Genomic DNA, 21,978 nt, shown 5'->3' with positions numbered 1-21,978 from the left:
ACTTTAATCAGCTCCTGTTTGAGAGCAGGACTGGGGGAGGACAAGAGCCAACAGCAAATTGTGTTACAACCAAATTTGTCACAGGGAAGAGGATTATTAAAAGGGGTTTTGATATTTTAAAAAGGAAAGTCATTAGAGGATTCTGATATTCAAAATATTTAACAATGAGTATAGTACTATGTGGAGGCTTCTCTTTTCACTAGTCATCATGCACAGAGTACTCAGAGAAAAGACCATTTTCCAGTACAAAGGAATGTATCTCAAAGTTTTAACAATCAGGATAGCCTACTGGGACATACTAGCGGAATACCAGCCTTGTCTATAACTGCTCAATGGAGGTTTTTCTTTTTAAGACAAGGAGTGAAACTACAAAGATGATGAAAGTTGTCTAAAAGTATATCTAATCACAAGCAGTCCCTAATCAGAGTCAAAGAAGGGTGAAATAAAAGAATCAACTGTTGCTCTTTATTCTTTCGTGTTGCTAAAGTAAGTCAAGAACCCCCCAAAATTACATTAATTCCTTTTGAGAGATGCAGTCGATATCATGTTGGCGACAAGTTAAATGGAACTCTGCAATCCTTTCATAATCAGAGCAAAATAAATCAATCCTCTAGAGCATACAGGAATGTTGTAAATGGACATATTGAAATTTTAAGAGCACAATCCCAGTTGGATATATCAGAAAGCCACTCTGCATATCACGGTGCAGAGATCTTGGGAGATTTTTCCATCTGATATTTCCGAGCAGGGAGCAGGTGGAAAAAATTATTTATAGCTATAGAAAAAAAAATGAAATGACATTTTTAAAAGCTAAGAATAACTCACATTAAAAAAACTCACATCTTTAAAAATCATTTAAGAAACAATTTTTTAATTAAAAAACTAAAAGACACCAGCCAAAGAATCACAAGAGAAACTGGCTGATAGAATTAAGGCAGGTAGAACATTCTTCCGTGGGTAATGGGTTGAGTGAGAAACAGCTGGACCCATGGCCAGGTAAGGCAAGGAATTCGACATCAGCAGAGCAGGTTTTCCATGTTAGGATCAGACATCAAGTGCTAGTCTACCTGCGGCCCTGAGGGATTGGAGGGAGGGTGGGTTTGACGTTGGAACCTGGGCGACTGATGACTGGGACCGAGTGTTGTCTGTGTTGGTGAGACTCTTTTTCATGTGAAAATGATTGTATAGGTAGTGCTGTAAAACATTCAGAAAAAAAGATAGTTAATCCCTTGGTTTCTTGGTACAAAGAGAATAAGTGTTGCATGATATAAGCACCAGAACAATTTCTAGAATTCGTTCATGACAAACTATAAGAAATAAATGAGGCCAGGTGCAGTGGCTTACACCTATAATTGCAGTACTTTGGGAGGCCAAGTGAGTGGATCACTTGAGGCCAAAAAAAAAAAAAAAAAAAAGAAAGAAATGACATTCAAGGAAGAATAATAGTGGATGAGGTCAGAATATAGCATGTACATGGTTGAACAAGCCTTAGGTTGTATAGAGTTGCCCAATGACCAGAGGATGCTACAGCAAGCACTCACTAGCGATTCTTCCACCTGTCATGCCTTCTGTAACAATGCTCCACACAGTACTCTTTCACAATCATACACATGCACACAGACACACACACACACAGTGAAGTGAAGTTCTTCCTATAGAAGCTTCATTTAATGCCCTCTAAAGATTGGTCTGCTCACCAAGCAGGAAGACATCTGGATGTCAGTTTCTCCAGGGACTTTGGGAAGCAGGAGGAGTTTAGAAGATAGAGAGGAAAGGTAGAGGCATGGTGGCCATAGCAGAAGCAGAATTCTCACTGGTAAGAAAGCAGAGTAGCAGGGATTGAGAAAGTAAAGCAGAGGATTCTATAGAGAGTGAGAGAAACAGAAATGATGGATAAGATTATGAAGACTGGATCTATTGGCCAAATCAAACCAATGAAAAGTCAAAGGGAACATTGACCGTTTTAGGACATATTCAAAGAAAAAAATAAGACATTGTTTGAGAGGATATTGTTATCAGCAAAAGAAAAGAAAAAAAACTCCTCCTTTTTTTTTTTTTTTTTTTTTTTGAGACCAGGTCTCGCTCTGTCACCTAGGCTGGAGTGCAGTGGTGTGATCTCAGCTCACTGCAACCTCCACCTCCCGGGTTCAAATGATTCTCATGCCTCAGCCTCCCAAGTAGCTGGGATTACAGGCATATGCCACCACCACATCTGCGTAATTTTTGTATTTTTGGTAGAGGTGGGGTTTCACCATGTTGGCCAGGCTAACGTTGAATTCCTGACCTCAGATGATCCTCCCGCCTTGGCCTCCCAAAGTGCTGGGATTACAGGCATGAGCCACTGAGTCTGGCCCTTCCTTGTTTGCTGGTTTTTGTTTTTCTCCATGGGGATATCTTTTAAACAGGAAAGAGCAAAGCAAACATGTTGAAAAGAAAGCAGACGGTAGAGGAGTAGGCCTCCTTTTTCAATCCGTTCAAGTCCCACAACCAGCTAAATTACATCTCAGGGTGCCGGAATTGCTTATGGAAGCAGTTTTGGAGTATCCACCCTTAGATAATTCATCCACAGTGAGAACAGCATTGGAGACAAATAATATTGCCATTTAAAAAAATAGGAATAAAGGTTTACAAACCAGTATATTTGACTTTATTTTTATTTATTTTTGAGACAGAGTCTCGCTTTGGCACCCAGCCTGGAGTGCAGTGGCACAATCTTGGCTCACTGCAACCACCGCCTACCGGGTTCAAGTGATTCTCCTGCCTCAGCCTCCTGAGTAGCTGGGATTACAGGCGCACACCAACACACTCAGCTACTTTTTGGATTTTTAGTAGAGACAGGGTTTCGCCATGTTGGCCAGACTGGTCTCGAATGCCTGACCTCAAGTGATCTGCCCACCTCAGCCTCCCAAAGTGCTGGGATTACAGACATGAGCCAATGCACCCAACCACATTTGACTTTAAATCTTAGCAAATTTCAGTTTATTAAAGAAATGGTTGTGTATTTATAAAATACTATAGTGAATGATGAGTGTTGAAGGGGTTTGCAAATAAAATTTACTTGAAAGTAACTTAATTTCCCTTTTATTTAGGCAGGGGTCAAGTAAACTATGGCACATAGGCCAAATCGGGCCTGCAGCCAGATTTATAAATTTTATTTAATTTGTAAATAAAATTTTATTGGAACCCATCCTGTACCCATTCATTTGCACATTGTTTATAGCTGTTCTCACGCTACAATGGTAGGGTTGAGAAGTTGCACAAGAGCCCACATGGCCCACAAAGCCAAAAGCATTTACTATATGGTCCTTTAGAGAAAGGTTGCTGACCTGTAAGTTAGAAAATACCACTGATACAATGTATCTTGATTTCTACAGGGCACTTATCAAAGTTTCTCATGGGGTTCCACTACAGAGATTTGACTAGTAATCACATAGTAGTGGACTTTCCCTGAAATTAAGTCTGCAGAGACTTGAGACTTGCCATGTGACACTGCACTTGGCTGAGTCCTGAGTCCTGTTGTTGACAGTGACTATGACATAGGCAGAGGTCACATGCTTGTTGGTTTTATAGATTTCAAAAATCTATAGAGAATATGGGAGATTAATAGGGAATATGGGAGAATAGAGAATATGGGAGATTAATCAGATACGAAATGATCTAATTTGATACAAATTGAGCTGGAATGTAGGGCCAAACCAAAATGATAAAAAGATGAAAACAAAAGTTACATTTATGTAAAAAAAAAAATCAACTTCACATATATGGGATGATGGAGACCTAGTTTGACAGTTCATGTAAAAAAAGACATGAGAGTTTGACCCAGAGCCAGCAGTATGATATAGTTGCTAAGAAAACCACTACAGTATATCAGCAAAATGGCAGACTCAGAACTTCCAGACCCTTATTGTCCCGTGGAAACATTAAATAAACAACTACAGACTGGCTGAAATAACTTTATAGGAACTCTGGAACCAGTCAAATATCTACTGCAACCAAACAAATGCCCAGTCCAGGAAAAGCCACACTCAAATGGTGGGAAATCTCATGGTGCTTTCACCTGCCCTTGCCCCGCCTCACCCCAGCACGTTGCAGTGATTTGGGGCAAGTGCAGTCAGGTCCCCAGTCCCCTTCTATAAACCAGAGAGAGTAGGGCAGATCTAATTTGCAATGTTCTAACCCATTTGGCAGCTGCCTGATTGGTCTCTGTGTCATCTAACTCAGAGTTCAAATGGCCCAAACAGGCATAGCTGGGATCTCAAACGAGGAGAAGCCACAGGAGCAGTGGGCATGGCTCATGAAAACCACACAGGGGCTACTAATTGAGGGATACGATAGAACAGCTAAAGCCCCAACAAGCAGCAGGGGTGAGACTCCTAGGAAAATTAAAACATTTAAAAGCAACTGTGTCTACTGGGGAACTGGGAAAAAAGCACACACACAAGCCCAGGGAAAATGCATACCCAGGAAAGGCCTGAAAAGATGTGAAGCCTGCATGCAAGCCTGATCCTAGGCTTAGAACACACGCCACTAATTAGTCCTCTGCAGCGCTGAGCTAGTCTGCAGCTTTGGAGAGGTAGCTGTTTTTTCAAATGCCCAATTTTCAACAAAAGAGCAAAGGCATACAAACAAACAGAAAAGTGTGGCCCATTCAAAGGAACAAAATGAATCTACAGAAAGCATCCATAAAATACACCAACACAATCTTCTGCTATGTGTATACAAATTTACAAGCACAATATCTAGCAGGTATCTAGCAATTTACTTCTTACTTGTACCATAAACTCATCTTATCTGGCTCAATATTATATATTATATTATAATATGCATATATATGTTACAATCATATATAGTTATATGTGATAATACCATATTATTATACGACAGATATTATGTTATTATTCCCAAGGCTCAAATGTTAACTGATTTGCCCAATATTGTGCAGCCAGCCAGTAGAGAAATGGAATTAGAACACAGGTCTTCTGATTCCTAATCTAATGTCTTTCTACTGTACCACACCACTGATAACAGCCCCACTTTGCTCTGGCCAGATGGGTTAGAATAAGGTATTTGACCCTAAGCATCCCATTTAAGGAAGGATACAGGCAGGGGGAGGAAATGAGATGGGGACGGTCCATGAACACTGTCCTATGAGAAGCTAGAACTATGATGAGCCTTGGTGCTATGTTTGGTCTAGAACTCCCGGTTCCCTCGGGCCCTGGAGTGGCAGGTCCCAGCCTTTACAGAATTCCTAGAACATTTCCCACTTCCTGCGAGCTGACATGAAGGCCAAGAGAATTTGGAATTACTTCCTGGAGCTTTGGTGTTAGAACTCTCATCCTTATTGCTTGTGTCCTGCATGAGTCAAATCCTTGAAAATCTCTTATTCCAGCCAGCTATCCTGAATACCACTGCAGTGAAGGGGAGTCCACCCTCACATTGCTTAGAAGATGCCTGCTTCAGTAATCCCTTCCTTTTGGAGACAGTATCTATTGTGTCTTCTCATGCCAGGCAAATTAAGAGGTCTGTATTATCTTGCTAGTTCCTCCGGTCACCTGAGCAAGCAGGGTTCAGGCAAAACATCCCCTCAAGACTACAAATGGTGGCTCTGTCCTAGCCTCCATGCATTAGAGAGTTCTCCCCATTCACTTCATTCCTCTATCAGCTACTCACAGCGCCCCACCTTTCCTATTGACACCCAGATTATTCTCTCCCATTCCCATTTTCACCTCCAGTCCTTTGTTTTCCCCACCCTGTTCAAGGTCTTTACTCAGTGTTATTTGTGAACACTGCCGCGGAGCCCAGAGAGAAAAGTGCAATGGCCATTCTGCCTCTTTCTGGACATGCATGTTCACATGTGTGTTTGGGATCTAGGGGCAAAAAGGAGGTGAAGCGGGGCTGGGCCAGATCCTTCAAGCCTAAAGCCATCAGAATTCTGCCGAACCGCCACAGTGAAGACTGGACTGCAACTCAAAGCCTCCATGCTTTCCTTCACCTTCATTGAATGGAGTCTACCTCACCAAAGCCTCTTCCAAAGAGCATGTGGTCGTTGTCCCAGACCGCTGCAGATAATGTGGCCGGGTGGACAGTGCAGCAGCTTCTACTCAAAGTAGCTAAGTGACCGTGGGTGGATTCCCCACCTTTCTCAACTTTGTTTTTCACCTATAACAATGGGCAACAAAATAACACGCTACCTTAGAGGGAGATTCTGACTCAATACTCTCATTTAATTTTCAAAAATCAGGATCAATAAAAAGACAGTAGGAAACATATATAAACAAATATAAATATATATAACTTATATTTATAGTACCATATGTAAAACAACGCATACCTTTTTTTTTTTGAGACGGAGTTTTGCTCTTGTTACCCAGGAGTGCAGTAGTGTGATCTCGGCTCCCTGCAACCTCCGCCTCCTGGGTTCAAGCAATTCTCTTGCCTCAGCCTCCCGAGTAGCTGGGACTACAGGTGCCCACCACCACACCTGGCCAATTTTTTGTATTTTTAGTAGAGATGGGGTTTCACAATTTTGGCCAGGCTGGTCTCGAACTCCTGACGTCAGGAGATCCATTCGCCTCGGCCTCCCAAAGTGCTGGGATTACAGGCATGAGCCACCGCGCTTGGCCTAACTCATACCTTTCCGGGTCTCTTCGGTCTCACTGTCACTGGCTCCTGATCCTAGGTGTGAAGAAATGCTCCCCTCCGGAGGCTGGAAAGGCAATTCTTTTGACCACGGACAGAACCGAAACAATGAACATTTCATGGAAACCAAGGAATCCTTCCCACTGAAAAAATGAAAAACCAAAGATCTTTTTGAGATCCAAACTATTCGCTACTAATGGCCACACGATCTATGCCTATGACTTCACTGGGTTACCTTTATCAAGTTCACAGTAGTTAGTGGACATGTCTTGTGTTGAGCTAGTGTTCAACAGTGTCTATAGAAGGTGCTATATAGAAGCTGACATCTCTTAAAGTATAATAGGTACTGTACACATTAGCATAAATGTCTCATCCATTATACAAGACATGGCTGAGTATTTACTAAGAGCAAGACATCATGATAAGTGTTGGAGTATAAAACAAGATAAGGCGCAGATCCTAATCTCCAGGATTTTAGAATCAGTGCTATTTCAAGGATAGAGAAACAAAACCATGGTAGGTGGCCTGATCTGGACCTCACACTGGGCATAGGTTTTGGGGACTGTGATTTTGCTTCCTTTTTTTTTTTGTTTTTGGAGACAGAGTCTTATTCTGTCACCCAGACTGGAGGGCAGTGACACGATCTGGGCTCACTGCAACCTCCACCTCCTGGGTTCAAGTGATTCCCCCGCTTCAGCCTCCCTAGTAGCTGGGACCACAGGCATGCACCATTGCCTGGCTAATTTTTGTATTTTTAGTAGAGATGGGGTTATGCCATGTTGGCCAGGCTGGTCTCGAACTCCTGACCTCAGGTGATCAGCCGGCCTCGGCCTCCGAAAGTACTGGGATTACAAGTGTAAGCCACCATGCCCCACACTCATTTCCATTTTTAGGATAATGTTCAGGTATGATTGGGCATCTGAAATCCCTGCCTCTGAGCCCAAACACTTCCTACCGCCAGGTTCCTCTCCTTTGGGATTCACCTGTTTCTTCACTGCCTTCCAGGGAGGCAGCTCTACCAGGGGAGCTCATCCTGCAAAGCCCTGGCAAGCAGCTGAACCTTGTTTACAGGCACTTCTACCACTGTGCCTCATCCCCACCATATTTGCTGTCATTGGAGAATCTGAAATTGATCACACGAAAATGGCTGATATTTAAGCCATTACGTTTTGGATAAATCTTGCCTTTTAATGAGGGCCAACGTCTTAAAAGAATGCAGCTCTCATGGCAGATTTCAGGCCTAAGCAAGAAGGCAGGAGAAATTTACTGAGTGAAATTTCCTCACTAAACATGGAAGTCATGCCATGAGTAGTCCCTGACTCAGCAAGGGGGACAGCTTTGATTCCACCTGACAGAAAGGTGGACACGATCCTCTCCCCTCTCCCTGACCAGTGCAGTCCCCATCTCCCACCTTGGGACCCCAAAGATTGTTTACACTCTTAACCCTTTTCTGTCACTCATTTATCAAGTCATTCTCAATTCTAACACTGAGGAGGTTCAGGAGATATAGCAGTGAACACAAGATCTGGACCTGCCCTGTTCGGCTTACAGACTGGGAGGTGTATCTAATCACACACGTGCTTTACAAAAACTGAGATATGAAGGAAAACACAAATGCTATAAGATGATATATTAGGCATACCAGGACAGCTCTCCTTGAGGAAGTGCCATTTTAGTTAAGACATGAGGGATGAATTAGCTAGAAAAGGGGGAAGGTGGGGTGGAGGTTGAAACTGGAGGGGAGGAAGGAGAATGCTCTCAGCAGAGGGACCGTTGTGACATCTGAAGGGCCTCACTGGGAGACAGGCTTCTCTTCTCCAACTTAATGGTTCTGGAATGCTTCTCAGTCAAAGTAAACTTCAGGAATGATAGAAAGATGCTGGCTTGGAAAACTAACCGGAAAAAGACAAGGAGTGGACTTTTTTTTTTTTTTTTTTTTTGAGACAGAGTTTCGCTCTTGTTGCCCAGGATGGAGTGCAATGGCGCCATCTCAGCTCACTGCAACCTCCGCCTGCCCGGTTCAAGTCATTCTCCTGCCTCAGCCTCCCGAGTAGCTGGGATTACAGGCACCCACCACCATGCCCAGCTAATTTTTTGTATTTTTAGTAGAGACGGGGTTTCTCCATGTTGGCCGGGCTGGTCTCGAACTCCTGACCTCAGGTGATTCGCCCACCTGGGCCTCCCAAAGTGCTGGGATTACAGGCATGTGCCACCACACCTGGCCAGGAGTAGACTTTTTAAGGGAAGGTTCGGGGGTGGGAATAGGATAATTCAACTACTGAAAAGGCAGGAGCAGGGAAGCATGAGGCCTGGAGTTTTATACCACTATGGCTTGGGAAGAGGGCGCCATAACCCAAGTGATGTGTGTCTCTTTTGACACAGGCGACAGGGGGCTTGTTTTGGCCCATGTTTCTGGATCTCACCAGCCAATGACTCCAGGACCAGATGGTGGCTGATTGAAGTATTTATAGACCGTGCTCTTGACCTCCCCAGCTGTCTCATCACTGGATGCCCTCAGATATTGGTAGGACCTCGGCAAGGAATCATGCTGAGACCAAGCAAAAAGATCCCCTCATCCCCCATGCACACACGGAAAGATTTCTAGTTAACAGCAAGTGTCAAAAAAGAAAATAAAACAGGTATAAATGTAGGCGAACCCCTCAGACATAGAGTTGAAATGCAAATATAGGACCTTCCCATTTTTAAAAGTTTAATAATTTTTCTTTAGAAAGCCACAGAGAATGTGAATTATGTCGGAGATGCTGGCATATCTTGGGGAGCTTTAGCAAATAAGAGGTAGTTTGGGAAGAAAAAAGAAACCTCTGGTAGAAAATAATGAAAGTCAGACAAAAAATATGTCTGAACTAATTGTCTTTCATTCATCACAGACGTGCCTGTGTCATTGGTGTTTCTCTATACATGTCTTCTTCCTTCAGTTAAATTCTAAGTCTTGTAGACTGTAGCCAAGTGGCTTAGCACAAAGATTCGAGCCTTTTGGCTTTGGTTCAGACCTCAGCTCTGAGACTTGATAGCTTCAAGTCCTTTTACCGACTAATTAACTTGCCTCAGTTGTCACATTTTTAAAATGAGGAAAATGACAGCATTTTTTTCTCGCCGGGTAGTAGTTATAAATTTGTGTGTGTGTGTGTGTGTGTGTGTGTGTGTGTGTGTGTGTGTTGAGATAACATATGTCACATTCCCAGAACGGAAACTGGCATGTGGTTGAGTGTTACACAAGATCCACTAGCTTTGTAACTCTGCTTCTCATATCCCATACACATTCATACTTCAGTTCAATTGTTTTGGATTGACTTATCTTTATCCACTGAATTAATTTCCTAAAAATAAAGTTCACTAATTGCTTCTCATTATAAAAGTAAATCATACGCATTATAGACAATTTAGAAAATACAGAAAACTAGAAGGAAAAAGGAAAATCACACATAGAAAGCCACTCTTACAGTTTGGCTCTTTTTGTTTTGTGTAATTGTGCACATTTTCAGTGAACAATTTTAAGTTATCAACAGTTTTCTGAACCCTGATCTTTAATTGCTGCATAATAGTCCATCAAGTATATGCTTCATGCTTTATTTGACCATTCTGTTATTTTTTGACATTCAGGTTATTTCCAAGTTTTTCTGTCATAATGAATATCTTTGCATATGATGATTTTCCACATGTTAATTTATTAGTATCTGCTAGGGTCTGAATGTTTGCATCCCCACAAATTCCTATGTTGAAATTCTCATCCCCAAGGTAATGACATTAGGAGGCGGGGTCTTCAGGAGGTGCTTAGGTTATGAGGGTGAGGCCCTCATGGTGGGATTAGTGCCCTTATTTAAGACTCCAGAGAGCTCCCTCACCCCTTCCATTGTGTAGAGGACACATCTACACAATGCCACAAGATGGCATCTGGAAACCAGGAAGTGGGCCCTGACCAGGCACTTGATCTTAAACTCCCAGCCTCCGGAACTGGGAGAAATAAATGTGTGTTGTCTATCAGCTACGCAGTCTATGGTATTTTATTATAGCAGCCTGAATGGTCTAAGACAGTATCAATTCCCAGAAGCAGGATAACTAGGTCAATAGTAAATATATTATTTAGGATTTTGCTATAAACTTCCTAATTGCTCCCCAAAAGATTGTGAAATTTTATCTTCCAACAAAATCTGGGCTCTCCAGCAGTATCTTTCTGTTTGCACCATTTAAAAAATAATTTTAAAAAATCAGTTTTGCTAATTCAACAAGCAAAAAGTGGCATATTATTTAAAATTGCTGTCTAATCACAAGCAAGATTAAACATTATTTTTTATATTTATTCATTAGCTCCTCCCCACACTCCTTTTGTGAATTGTGTATGTCTTTTGCTCATTTATCTGTTGAGGACCATACCGTTTTTCTTACCAATTTGTCTGAACTCTTCACGTATTGAATATTAACCCTTTTGTTGTATTGTGTAAAGCTTGCTGTTTTTCTTTTAAATTTGATTTGGACCTAGACAAACTTTTTCTCAACTCTCCAAAAATTTATCATTAACATTTTAATCAACGTGCTGTCTCTATATAGTTAAAATTAAGTCAAATTATACAGAGAGGCTTTGTCTGTCACCCAGACTGGAGTGTAGTGGCACCATCCTGGCTCACTGCAACCTCTGCCTCCCGGGTTTCACTGATTCTCCTGCCTCAGCCTCCTCAGTAACTGGGACTACAGGTGTGCACCACCACATCTGGCTAATTTTTGTATTTTTAGTAGAGATGGGTTTTTGCCATGTTGGCCAGGCTGGTCTTGAACTCCTGACCTCAAGTGATCTACCCTCCTGGGCCTCCCAAAGTGCTGGGATTATAGGCATGAGCCACGCCGCCCAGGCCTGACATCAATTTTAAACATATCTTTTAATAGATAGGATTTCTGCTATGATACGGAAGAACTTAACTCACTTTATAACACTCCCCCTACATAGTTCTATCACTATTCTCAGTTCTTCCATCTGTCAGATCTGCATCTTCATATATCATATTTTAAAACTACATTTCTTCTTTCATTAACAACAGCTAATAAAATTGACCCTCCACCTCTACCTCCTCAACTTTGTCATTACGGGTCTGCTTTTCACTGTCAAAGTTGATTATATTAAGCTTTGTATTCATAGTTCTGTCTTTTCATGATTTGGCCAAAGGTTGATTAAAACGTCAAAAATTCATAGGTAATTTTCCGCTGCAGAACCTAGTAGGTGGCTGTGATGATACTTTCTTTTCTGTAGTTCCAATGTTATGATCCCTATCCCAGCAAAGAAGTACATTTCTAGGATCAAGTTCAAGTTGAACTCCACTTGTTCACACTCCACATTTAACTTAGATTCGTACCTGGCAATAGGAAAGGCTGATGCAATTGGGTCTATACAAGGTAAAGCCTGCCATTTAAATGAAGGCATCTATGTTTACTAGGATGATATTGACTGTGGCAGAGATTAAAAGGGTAGGAGCCAGTCTTAATGAGATATCCCCAGGAGTTCAGGGCTCTAGTATTGAAAAACATAGTGCAATTAGCTATCATCTGGGCCTGTCCTTGACCCAGGAGGTAAGGGAATGGGGTGATATAGGCATACTGAGGGTGACACAGCTAATGTGCAGCACTCACATTGTCTGTATTATGTTTGAATGGCAAGCAGAGGCCACAGCACTGGTGCACTTGGGAATCCAAACCCAGCTCTCCTGGAAAGCCCATGTGCTGCTGGGCATAGGCACCTGCCTACTACTTGGACCTCAGATGTCTGTCAACTACAGCTAGGGCTACATGGCACCAACATTCCCAGATAGAGGTATTCTGGGATGGGGCACTCTCTCTGCACCCTAAGGATTCTGCTTAGAAGTGTCAGTTACTTGTTATCAAGTGGCAGAGAAGTCTAATTGCTTGCTCCAAGGAGGAGGTCCATCTTACCATCTTGGGCTGAGTTCTTGGGACTGTCTTCTTTTTGTTGGACGACAGCTTTTGGAATTCTATGCCAGAATGTTAGGTCCCTTTAATTTAATTTAATTTAATTTAATTTAATTTAATTTAATTATCTATTTGAGACAGGGTCTGTCACTCAGGCTGGAATGCAATGGTGCAATCATGGCTCACTGCAGCTTTAACCTCTTGTGTTCAAGCCATCCTCCCACCTCAGCCTCCTGAGTAGCTGAGACGACAGGCACACACCACCATTCCCAGCTACTTTTTTTTTTTTGGTATAAACAGAGTCTCACTATGTTGCCGAGGCTGGTCTTGAACTCCTGGGCTCAAATGATCCAATCCTTCTACCTTGCCTTCCCAAAGTACTGGAATTAGAGGTGTGAGCCACTGCACCAGGCCTAGGCTCCCTTTATACAGAGCAAAGTCTCCTAGGAGACCTTGTTTCCCAATCTCTTGCTCCCACCTAGGTTTACTGAGCTTGCCCAAGAAGCACTTGCTAGAGAAGAGTAAACTGAGACCAATATTGCCAACATCTGGCTCTTCCAGTCACCAGACAAATCTCTCCTCTACTTCCTGCATTGGGAAAGTGTCATTATTAACCTATGCATGGGATCTTCTCTTTAGATTTATACCTAGACTGAGTCTTTTGCCCTAAATATAGCAGTAGATGCATTTATGTTTTATGGGATAGAGCTTTTTATCAAATGATAGATGCATAAAGATGTTCTTCCATCTTTTAGCGAAAAATGCAATAACCCAAAGTGATAAAGATATAGTGCATACGATAGTAGCTTATATGTATAACATATAAATTAAATACATACATAGCATATAACTATGTAGCATGTTAAAGGGAACACAGAAAGAATGTGAAAAGAAAAATTTCACTGGATTTTTATACAGGTCGTATTAGTTTGCTCCGGCTGCCATAACAAGATACCATGAACTGAGTGGCTTAAACAATGGAAATTGATTGTCTCACAGTTATGGAGGCCTAAAGTCCAAAATCAAGGTGTCAGCAGGGCTGATTCCTTCCAGGGTCTGTGAGGGAGAATTGTTCCGGGCCTCTCTCATCACTTCCGGTGGTTTGCTGGCAAGCTTTGGTGCTCCTTGTCTTCTGCCCCATCACCCCAATCTGAGTCTTCATCACAAGGTATTCTCCCTATGTGTGTGCCTGTGTCCAAATTTCTCCTTTTTACAAGGACAGCCTTATTGGCTTAGGAGCCCACCCTACTCCAATATGACCTCATCTTAACAAATTACATCTGCAGTGACCCTATTTCCAAATAAGGTCACATTCTGAGATCCTGGGGGTCAGGACTCCAACATATGAAATTGGGGGAATGGGGGACAGCTCAAACCATAACACATATGTTTTGGGAAATAATATGTCTGCATATAAGACACACATCAAAAAAGGCATCACAGAGCAAGTTCTGTCTTTCAACAATTATTTTTCCTTTGTGTCAAAGTATTAAATGAATACTCATTGAAAGTCTGAAGAAAGAATGTGGTGGAGTTAAAAGACATATGCATGACCACGGGTGAAGTGTGAGACTTGAGCCACAGGCCTGACCCCTTTTACCATGGGAAGAGATGACGTGTAAACCTACTGCAGCCCATTAGGCCATTTTGTTTTCTCTTTTTTGCTGTATTCCCATCTGCCTACCTCACTGTACTAACAATTCAGAGCTCAAACAAATCCTCAGAGATCACAGTTTCAACACGGTTACAGAAAGCTAATTAACTAATTATAATGCTAGGGTCTCTAATCTCTAGTGAAACATGCAGACTGAGAGGGGACCATTTAGAGGGGACAGCTATTTTTCATCATCAAAATTATGGAAGGAAATCCCAAGTGTCAGAACAATAAAACTCAGAAATAAAGGAAAGCATTGCTCATTTTAAAAGTTTTCATTCTCATTATGATATATCACCATCATAAAATATCCCTTTGCTGTGACAGACTTCTAAAATAACTTTGTAAAGTTATGCTAATGCTTCAAAAATTATAAAAATGCTCATTGTTGAAAATACGGGGGGTGAACAAAAAAACAAAAACTGGCCATAATCTTATCACTAGAAGATAATAACATAATATTTTGGTGTAAATCCTTTTACTTTCTCATTTATTGAATATTTCATTAAATTCTTAGGGATTTTTAATAGTTTTTTAGGATACAGAAATAAAATATATATCCCTGTGCAAATAATTTAGGTGTTACAGGAAAAAAGGATAAAGAAGAAAAATAAAATAACTGGTAATTCTAGAGAAATAGCCACTGTTCACATTTTGGTGAGCTTTCTTCCGGTCACTTTGTATGTCCATTACATTGCCATGCGTTTGGATGCTCCACAGAGACTGCCATACCCACAGCCCCCTTCTGAAGAGTTTTCCACTTGGTTCGCTGTCACTGGTCTGACCACAGAATACTGGCTAAAGGATAGGTGCCTGACATAGGGACAGCCAATCTATAGACCAGCCAGCAACCTATGAGGGCCCTGGTTAGAGATCTCTACCCAAGAGAGGCACCCCGTAGTAGATGGCAATTGACCCAACCAGCCAGATCTTTGTGTAAATTTGTTTTCAAGACCTACAGCGAGATGGTCAGCTGCAGTGACAGGAGCAACTGAAGGAGAAACAAAATGTAGTAGAATGTTCTCAAAAGCACAGTGCTACAATCAGCAATGGAGGCTCTGTTGTGGTCTATATGGGACCCTCAGCGTAAACATTTTCAGCTTTTGAGCCACACTATGACATATTAAACACTGAGACCCTGAAATGGCCTTTTATGTATTGCACTTCCATTGGTAAACATTTTGAAATACAGCGTCATACTAATCAGAATGGTTGGTTGCAAATACAGACACTCTTTGGCCAAGGTGAATATTAAAAAGGGAATTAGTGGAAGGCTATGGGGTACTTTATGAAATTAATGGAAACTAGAGAACCTGGCCTTAAAATGAGGCGGGAACAAAGGTAAGCTAGGAACCAAGAACACAGCCGAATCACAGTACAGGAAGAGATTAGCAGAACATCATTGCCTGCCTTACCACAATGGATGTCTGTGCTCTTCCTCTGAAATCTCGGTTCTTCTGCTGCTGGTGACTTGAATAGCCTCTAACTGCCCCTGTGTCTTTCTATCACTCCCTCAAGATTCAAGGTCCCAGATAAAAGCTTCCAATGGTGAACCTAGGTTATATGCCTGGGCCCTCCATAGAGGGGCAGGGTCTACTCCCTTCAAATTCTACAGCGGGAGTTAGGGCCCTGCTTCCCAGTTTTAGGATTTCTCTGAAGCTTAGAGATGAGTACCATAATTTTAACTAACCAGCAGAAAATAGCCAATTCCATCCAACAAAACACCTCAACTCACCTCTTTTCAGGATATGGTCCAAATGGAGGTTTAAAATAGTCTTCACAAAGATCAAAACTTTTCCAGAGTTCTTCTAAAGTTGTATAATAGTGTAGACCACTGGTGAGAGGTGCTGGTACTGGACCCCTGGAATGGGAAATTTAAAAAAAAAAAAAAACCAAAGGATTTTGTAAAGATACCAAGTGTACACACATGTATACCTAAATATCCCAGATAAACGCAAATGCCAATGAGATCTATGTGAAATAATGTAATATATCCACTCAGAAACATGCACATCAGAGCTTGTCTAAGTCATTGGCATCATTACATTCTAATTTGAAGGTTAAGTAAATATTCATTGCTGTGAATATTCCATAGCCATTAAAGTACTAATATAGGCAAATTATCTTCCTGGAGATTCCCTAGTCCATTTGTTATGCAAGGGCTAGCAATATATCAACTGCTATAAAAGTTAAAAATAGGTGTTTTCCAACTTTATTTATAATCTAATGCTTTGAAATGGTATCCAAGTAAAATATTTCTAAAAATTCTACCATTATACGTTCAACTAAACTCTAGCATAAAATATCCTTTTTCATCTATTCATATGTGCTGTATGCAAGTCTGTTCCCTCAGACTGACTTGAAAGAAAAAGAATCATTAGCCATTTTTCGTGAATAAACCCTGCTGTTCTTCAGACTTGCTAGAGTTGCTATGTGCAAGGCAGCCCAGTTGCATATAAATGCAGGCAAATTCAAAGCATCTATCTGCCTTTGTGATGACCCATTTGGAACTCATATTTAAAACTGCATAGTTTCTCTGTCCAGAGTGTTCGAACAGGCCTGGCATTCTGCTGGGCAGTGGTCACCTAGGCCCAGCTTCAGCTGCTCTGGGGGACAGTGTCTCACTCCTGGCCACCATCCTCCCAACCTCCCATACAAATTTGCATATATCACACAGCCTGTCTTTTGAATCTGACTATCCAAAGATAGCCTACCAACATGAAGAAAATTAATCACTCTGTTTTGACATGGCAGCAAACAAGTGAACAAAAATGTAATTTTATTTATATTGATTAAAGATTCTCAATAGATAACTTAAAATTACAAACAATAAAAAGAACCGAAACAATCATGCAAGGGAAAGGATAGACGATAGTTAAAGGTGGTGAAGCCACAACTCCAGATTAATCACCCGTCTTCTTCTTGCAAAGAAATATTCTTTGCAATCTTCAAAAAATCATCAGTTTCTAGTAGCTATGAGCATATTGTGCCTTTTAAAAATGTATACAAATGAAAAGGAAATACAACTTCTAGAACTGCTTTTACTGCTGAAACACTGGGTCCATTTTAGGACAGAGGTCTCTGTTTATGTTCACGATTTAGGATTCATTTGATCTATTTGAACACTAGGAAATCAATCTAAAGTTGCTCATGTGATAAATTGCTACCTTTGAAATAGGAGTGTGTGATCAGGGCGTATCCTTCCCATTAGAGCTTGCCGGGCTGCCTCGTGCTGTCTGTGTATAGAATCTCTTTCCTAGGTAAGAAATGTCATTAGAAAATTGCATTGATGTTAAAAATGTCAGATGATTAAAACATCTATAATAATTCTCTTTGGTACTAGAGATTGACAAATATGTGGGAAGAAAAAGGGGGAAAAGGCATAAAAAACAATTGATATTCACTCAGGAAAAAGAAAAGAACCAACTTTATAAATAAAGCCAAAGTATATTTATAAAGACTGTAATATAATATATAAACTCTATTTGACATCTAAATAATAATATGGCAATTTTTATTTACATTTTATGTGTGCATTTTTATCTTTCTAATGAGATTATAAACTTCTCAAAGGTACAGACTATTATGGTCTTTTTAGTCTTCCCAGATCTCAGCACATATAGTAGCTAACTGATTGAATTAACACAGCCACCAAAATTTAATTATGATCCGGAAATAGGAAAAATTTATGGGGGCGGTCTTTCTCTCATTATTTCACAAATATCACTATCATTCTTTAGTAAGCATTTAATGGGGATACAGATACATACAAGATAGTCTCTGCATTCAAAAGGTTTATGGTCTGGTGGCAAAAGGCAACAAACAAGGAGGAAATAAAACCCAGATGGCACATGTTGTTTTATAAATAACAGAGGATGCATTGATACACAGATCACCTGATGGAGTATGACCTATTTAGCAACTGTCCAGGTACTGGATTTCCTCCCTTAAAGCAAACCTAATACATAAAGTTCTTAATTTACAGAAAAGATAAATTAACAAGTGATTCTTTGTTTTACATAAAAGACTTACTGACAAGAGGATTTATAATGGTATTTATTTAAACAGCAAGTACACTTAAAATACATTAATCTTTGCATTGTATGTATTTTGCTTCCAGTAACTTAATCTGAAATAAGCCTTGCTGTTTTGATTTTTATGTCATTACCAGGCTCCACTATAAATTGGCATTCACTTAAAATTTCACAAGAAATAACAAACAAGCATGCAAGGGAAAGGACAGACGATAGTGAAAGGTGGTGAAACCACAACTCCAGATTAATCACCTGTCTTAGCCTTGGGGGCTAGCATAGTTTCAAGTGTTTGCTTGCGTGTCTTTAGGGGAAGTTTTTAAAAATCAAGTTTTAAGAATTAAGTTGATGTGATTGTAAAAACATTTTTGCATCACAATAACTGATCTGTAGCGATGCCAAGACTGACACACCTAACATCTCTGGAAATAAGTCATATCCCAGAGAGATCAGAATCCCTTTTGTCACTGCTGTATCCCCTGCACACAGCACACAGACTTTAGCACAAAGCAGGACCTCAACAAACCACTTTAATGTACAACAGTATAAATTTGGGGGGGATAATATAAAGAGTGAATAATGTTTACCATTTTTTATAACCTGGATTAGAATTTGCTGTCAACTGTTCCTAGCTTGAAAAAGTCTAGGTCAAGCTTTTGAAATTGTTCCTTAGAGACCATGACACATGAGCGCTAACGTGGGCTCACTGAACACACTCTCTGGTGGATACTTGATTACCAAAATCATTTTACTTTTTCCCTGAGCTCTGTGTTTCTATGTAAACAAGATGAGGAGAAAATTGTATTGGGAAAGTCAGGGGAGGATGTAATGAGAGAAGAAAGGAACAAGCCCTATTTACATTTCACCATTTAAAAACTACAGGTTTAAATAATTCCATGAATATATCTAAATAGCTTGACTTTACTATAAAATAACTATATATTAACCAAGTCTGCTGTGAATTTACTTTATTTTTTGTGTTTGTTGTTATTCACTCTCCCGTGAATTTATTATTTGCTGGGAATCACTTTATAGTAGTACACCATTTACTACTGTGATTTCATTGTATACCGCCCTTACTTTTTCCCTTATTTATGCTTAATTTATATTTTATTATAACTGAGAAGATGACAGTGGTAGTGGCAGCATACTTTTTGGATCTTCTAGAATTCCACATAAAAATAAACATAGCAACTAAATAGCGAAATCAAAAACATGTCAAAAAACTTACAACGAAACCAGGTGACAGGGTATCTCCTCAAACCCCAAAATACAGGTGGGGCTTTCATAACCACAACACCTGCATGGTATCAGTATCTATGCAGGAGGAAGTCAGATGATAGCCACAACACCTGCATGATGTGAGTGTTTATGCAGAAGGAAGCTGAAGGAAGCAGCATGGTGACTGAAAGACCTGGAAACAGGGGAATGCCAAGACAGCTGAAAAATATTCACTGAAAAGCAAAGCAGGGCAATCTGGGAACCACAGCTGAAATAGAAGAGGGGTTGTTCCCATTCCAGTAGTGTTTGAGTATAAGAAGTCATAGGAACTTTTTATTTATTTATTTTTGTTTTGTTTTTTGTTTGTTTTTATTATTATACTTTAAGTTCTAGGGTACATGTGCACAACGTGCAGGTTTGTTACATATGTATACATGTGCCATGTTGGTGTGCTGCACCCATTAACTCGTCATTTACATTAGGTATATCTCCTAATGCTATCCCTCCCCCTGCCCCCCACCCCTGTGATGTTCCCCACCCTGTGTCCAAGTGTTCTCATTGTTCAATTCCCACCTATGAGTGAGAACATGTGGTGTTTGATTTCCTGTCCTTGCGATAGTTTGCTCAGAATGATGGTTTCTAGCTTCATCCATGTCCCTACAAAGGACATGAACTCATCATTTTTTATGGCTGCGTAGTATTCGTGGTGTATGTGTGCCACATTTTCTTAATCCAGTCTATCACTGATGGACATTTGGGTTGGTTCCAAGTCTTTGCTATTGTGAATAGTGCCGCAATAAACATATGTGTGCATGTGTCTTTATAGCAGCATCATTTAAATCTTTTGGGTATATGCCCAGTAATGGGATGGCTGGGTCAAATGGTATTTCTAGTTCTAGATGCTTGAGGAATCACCACACTGTCTTCCACAATGGTTGAACTAGTTTACAGTCCCACCAACAGTGTAAAAGCATTCCTATTTCTCCACATCCTCTCCAGCACCTGTTGTTTCCTGACTTTTTAATGATCACCATTCTAACTGGTGTGAGATGGTATCTCATTGTGGTTTTGATTTGCATTTCTCTGATGGCCAGTAATGATGAGCATGTTTTCATGTGTCTGTTGACTGCATAAATGTCTTCTTTTGAGAAGTGTCTGTTCATATCCTTTGCCCAATTTTTGATGGGGTTGTTTGATTTTTTTCTTGTAAATTTGTTTAAGTTCTTTGTAGATTCTGGATATTAGTCCTTTGTCAGATGGGTAGATTTTAAAAATTTTCTCCCATTCTGTAGGTTGCCTGTTCACTATGATGGTAGTTTCTTTTGCTGTGCAGAAGCTCTTTAGTTTAATTATATCCCATTTGTCAATTTTGGCTTTTGTTGCCATTGCTTTTGGTGTTTTAGTCATGAAGTCCTTGCCCACGCCTATGTCTTGAATGGTATTGCCTAGGTTTTTTTCTAGGATTTTTATGGTTTTCGGTCTAACATTTAAGTCTTTAATCCATCTTGAATTAATTTTTGTATAAGGTGTAAGGAAGAGATTCAGTTTCAGCTTTCTACATATGGCTAGCCAGTTTTCCCAGCACCATTTATTAAATAGGGAATCCTTTCCCCATAGCTTGTTTTTGTCAGGTTTGTCAAAGATCAGATGGTTGTAGATGTGTGGTATTAATTCCAAGGGCTCTATCCTGTTCCATTGGTCTATATCTCTGTTTTGGTACCAGTACCATGCTGTTTTGGTTACTGTAGCCTTGTAGTATAGTTTGAAGTCAGGTAGTGTGATGCCTCCAGCTTTGTTCTTTTGGCTTAGGATTGTCTTGGCAATGCGGGCTCTTTTTTGGTTCCATATGAACTTTAAAGTAGTTTTTTCCAATTCTGTGAAGAAAGTCATTGGTAGCTTGATGGGGATGGCATTGAATCTATAAATTACCTTGGGCATTATGGCCATTTTCACAATATTGATTCTTCCTATCCATGAGCATGGAATGTTCTTCCATTTGTTTGTGTCCTCTTTTATTTTGTTGAGCAGTGGTTTGTAGTTCTCCTTGAAGAGGTCCTTCACATCCCTTGTAAGTTGGATTCCTAGGTATTTTATTCTCTTTGAAGCAATTGCGAATGGGAGTTCACTCATTTGACTCTCTGTTTGTCTGTTATTGGTGTATAGGAATGCTTGTGATTTTTGCACATTGATTTTGTATCCTGAGACCTTGCTGAAGCTGCTCATCAGCTTAAGGAGATTTTGGGCTGAGACGATGGGGTTTTCTAAATATAAAATCATGTCATCTGCAAACAGGGACAGTTTGACTTTCTCTTTTCCTAATTGAATACCTTTTATTTCTTTCTCCTGCCTGATTGCCCTGGCCAGAACTTCCAACACTATGTTGAATAGGAGTGGTGAGAGAGGGCATCCCTGTCTTATTCCAGTTCTCAAAGGGAATGCTTCCAGTTTTTGCCCATTCAGTATGATATTGGCTGTGGGTTTGTCATAAATAGCTCTTAT

At 40.4% G+C, this 21,978-nt stretch overlaps 1 protein-coding gene across 4 annotated transcripts in view; it reads right to left on the bottom strand.

The window, feature by feature from the left end:
* Positions 1 to 21,978, bottom strand: part of LRGUK (leucine rich repeats and guanylate kinase domain containing) — a 149,346-nt gene that overhangs the window by 11,647 nt on the left and 115,721 nt on the right. For 2 of the 4 annotated variants that reach the window (NM_144648.3, XM_047419890.1), the window contains 4 exons: positions 17,395 to 17,483; positions 15,963 to 16,088; positions 6,634 to 6,782; positions 444 to 1,194 (listed from right to left, as the gene is read on the bottom strand). In NM_144648.3, the coding sequence (NP_653249.1) occupies positions 1,064 to 1,194; positions 6,634 to 6,782; positions 15,963 to 16,088; positions 17,395 to 17,483 (495 nt within the window). In that variant the 3' untranslated portion in view covers positions 444 to 1,063. Of the gene's footprint in view, positions 1 to 443; positions 1,195 to 2,884; positions 6,160 to 6,633; positions 6,783 to 15,962; positions 16,089 to 17,394; positions 17,484 to 21,978 lie in introns of those variants that run through there. The other 2 variants (XM_024446661.2, XM_024446659.2) reach the window with 2 other exon arrangements.

The sequence above is a fragment of the Homo sapiens genome, chromosome 7 (assembly GCF_000001405.40).
Source record: "Homo sapiens chromosome 7, GRCh38.p14 Primary Assembly".
Lineage (NCBI taxonomy): Eukaryota > Metazoa > Chordata > Mammalia > Primates > Hominidae > Homo > Homo sapiens.
Note: the sequence above shows the minus strand (reverse complement) of the source record. Positions and strands in the feature narration are given on the sequence as shown.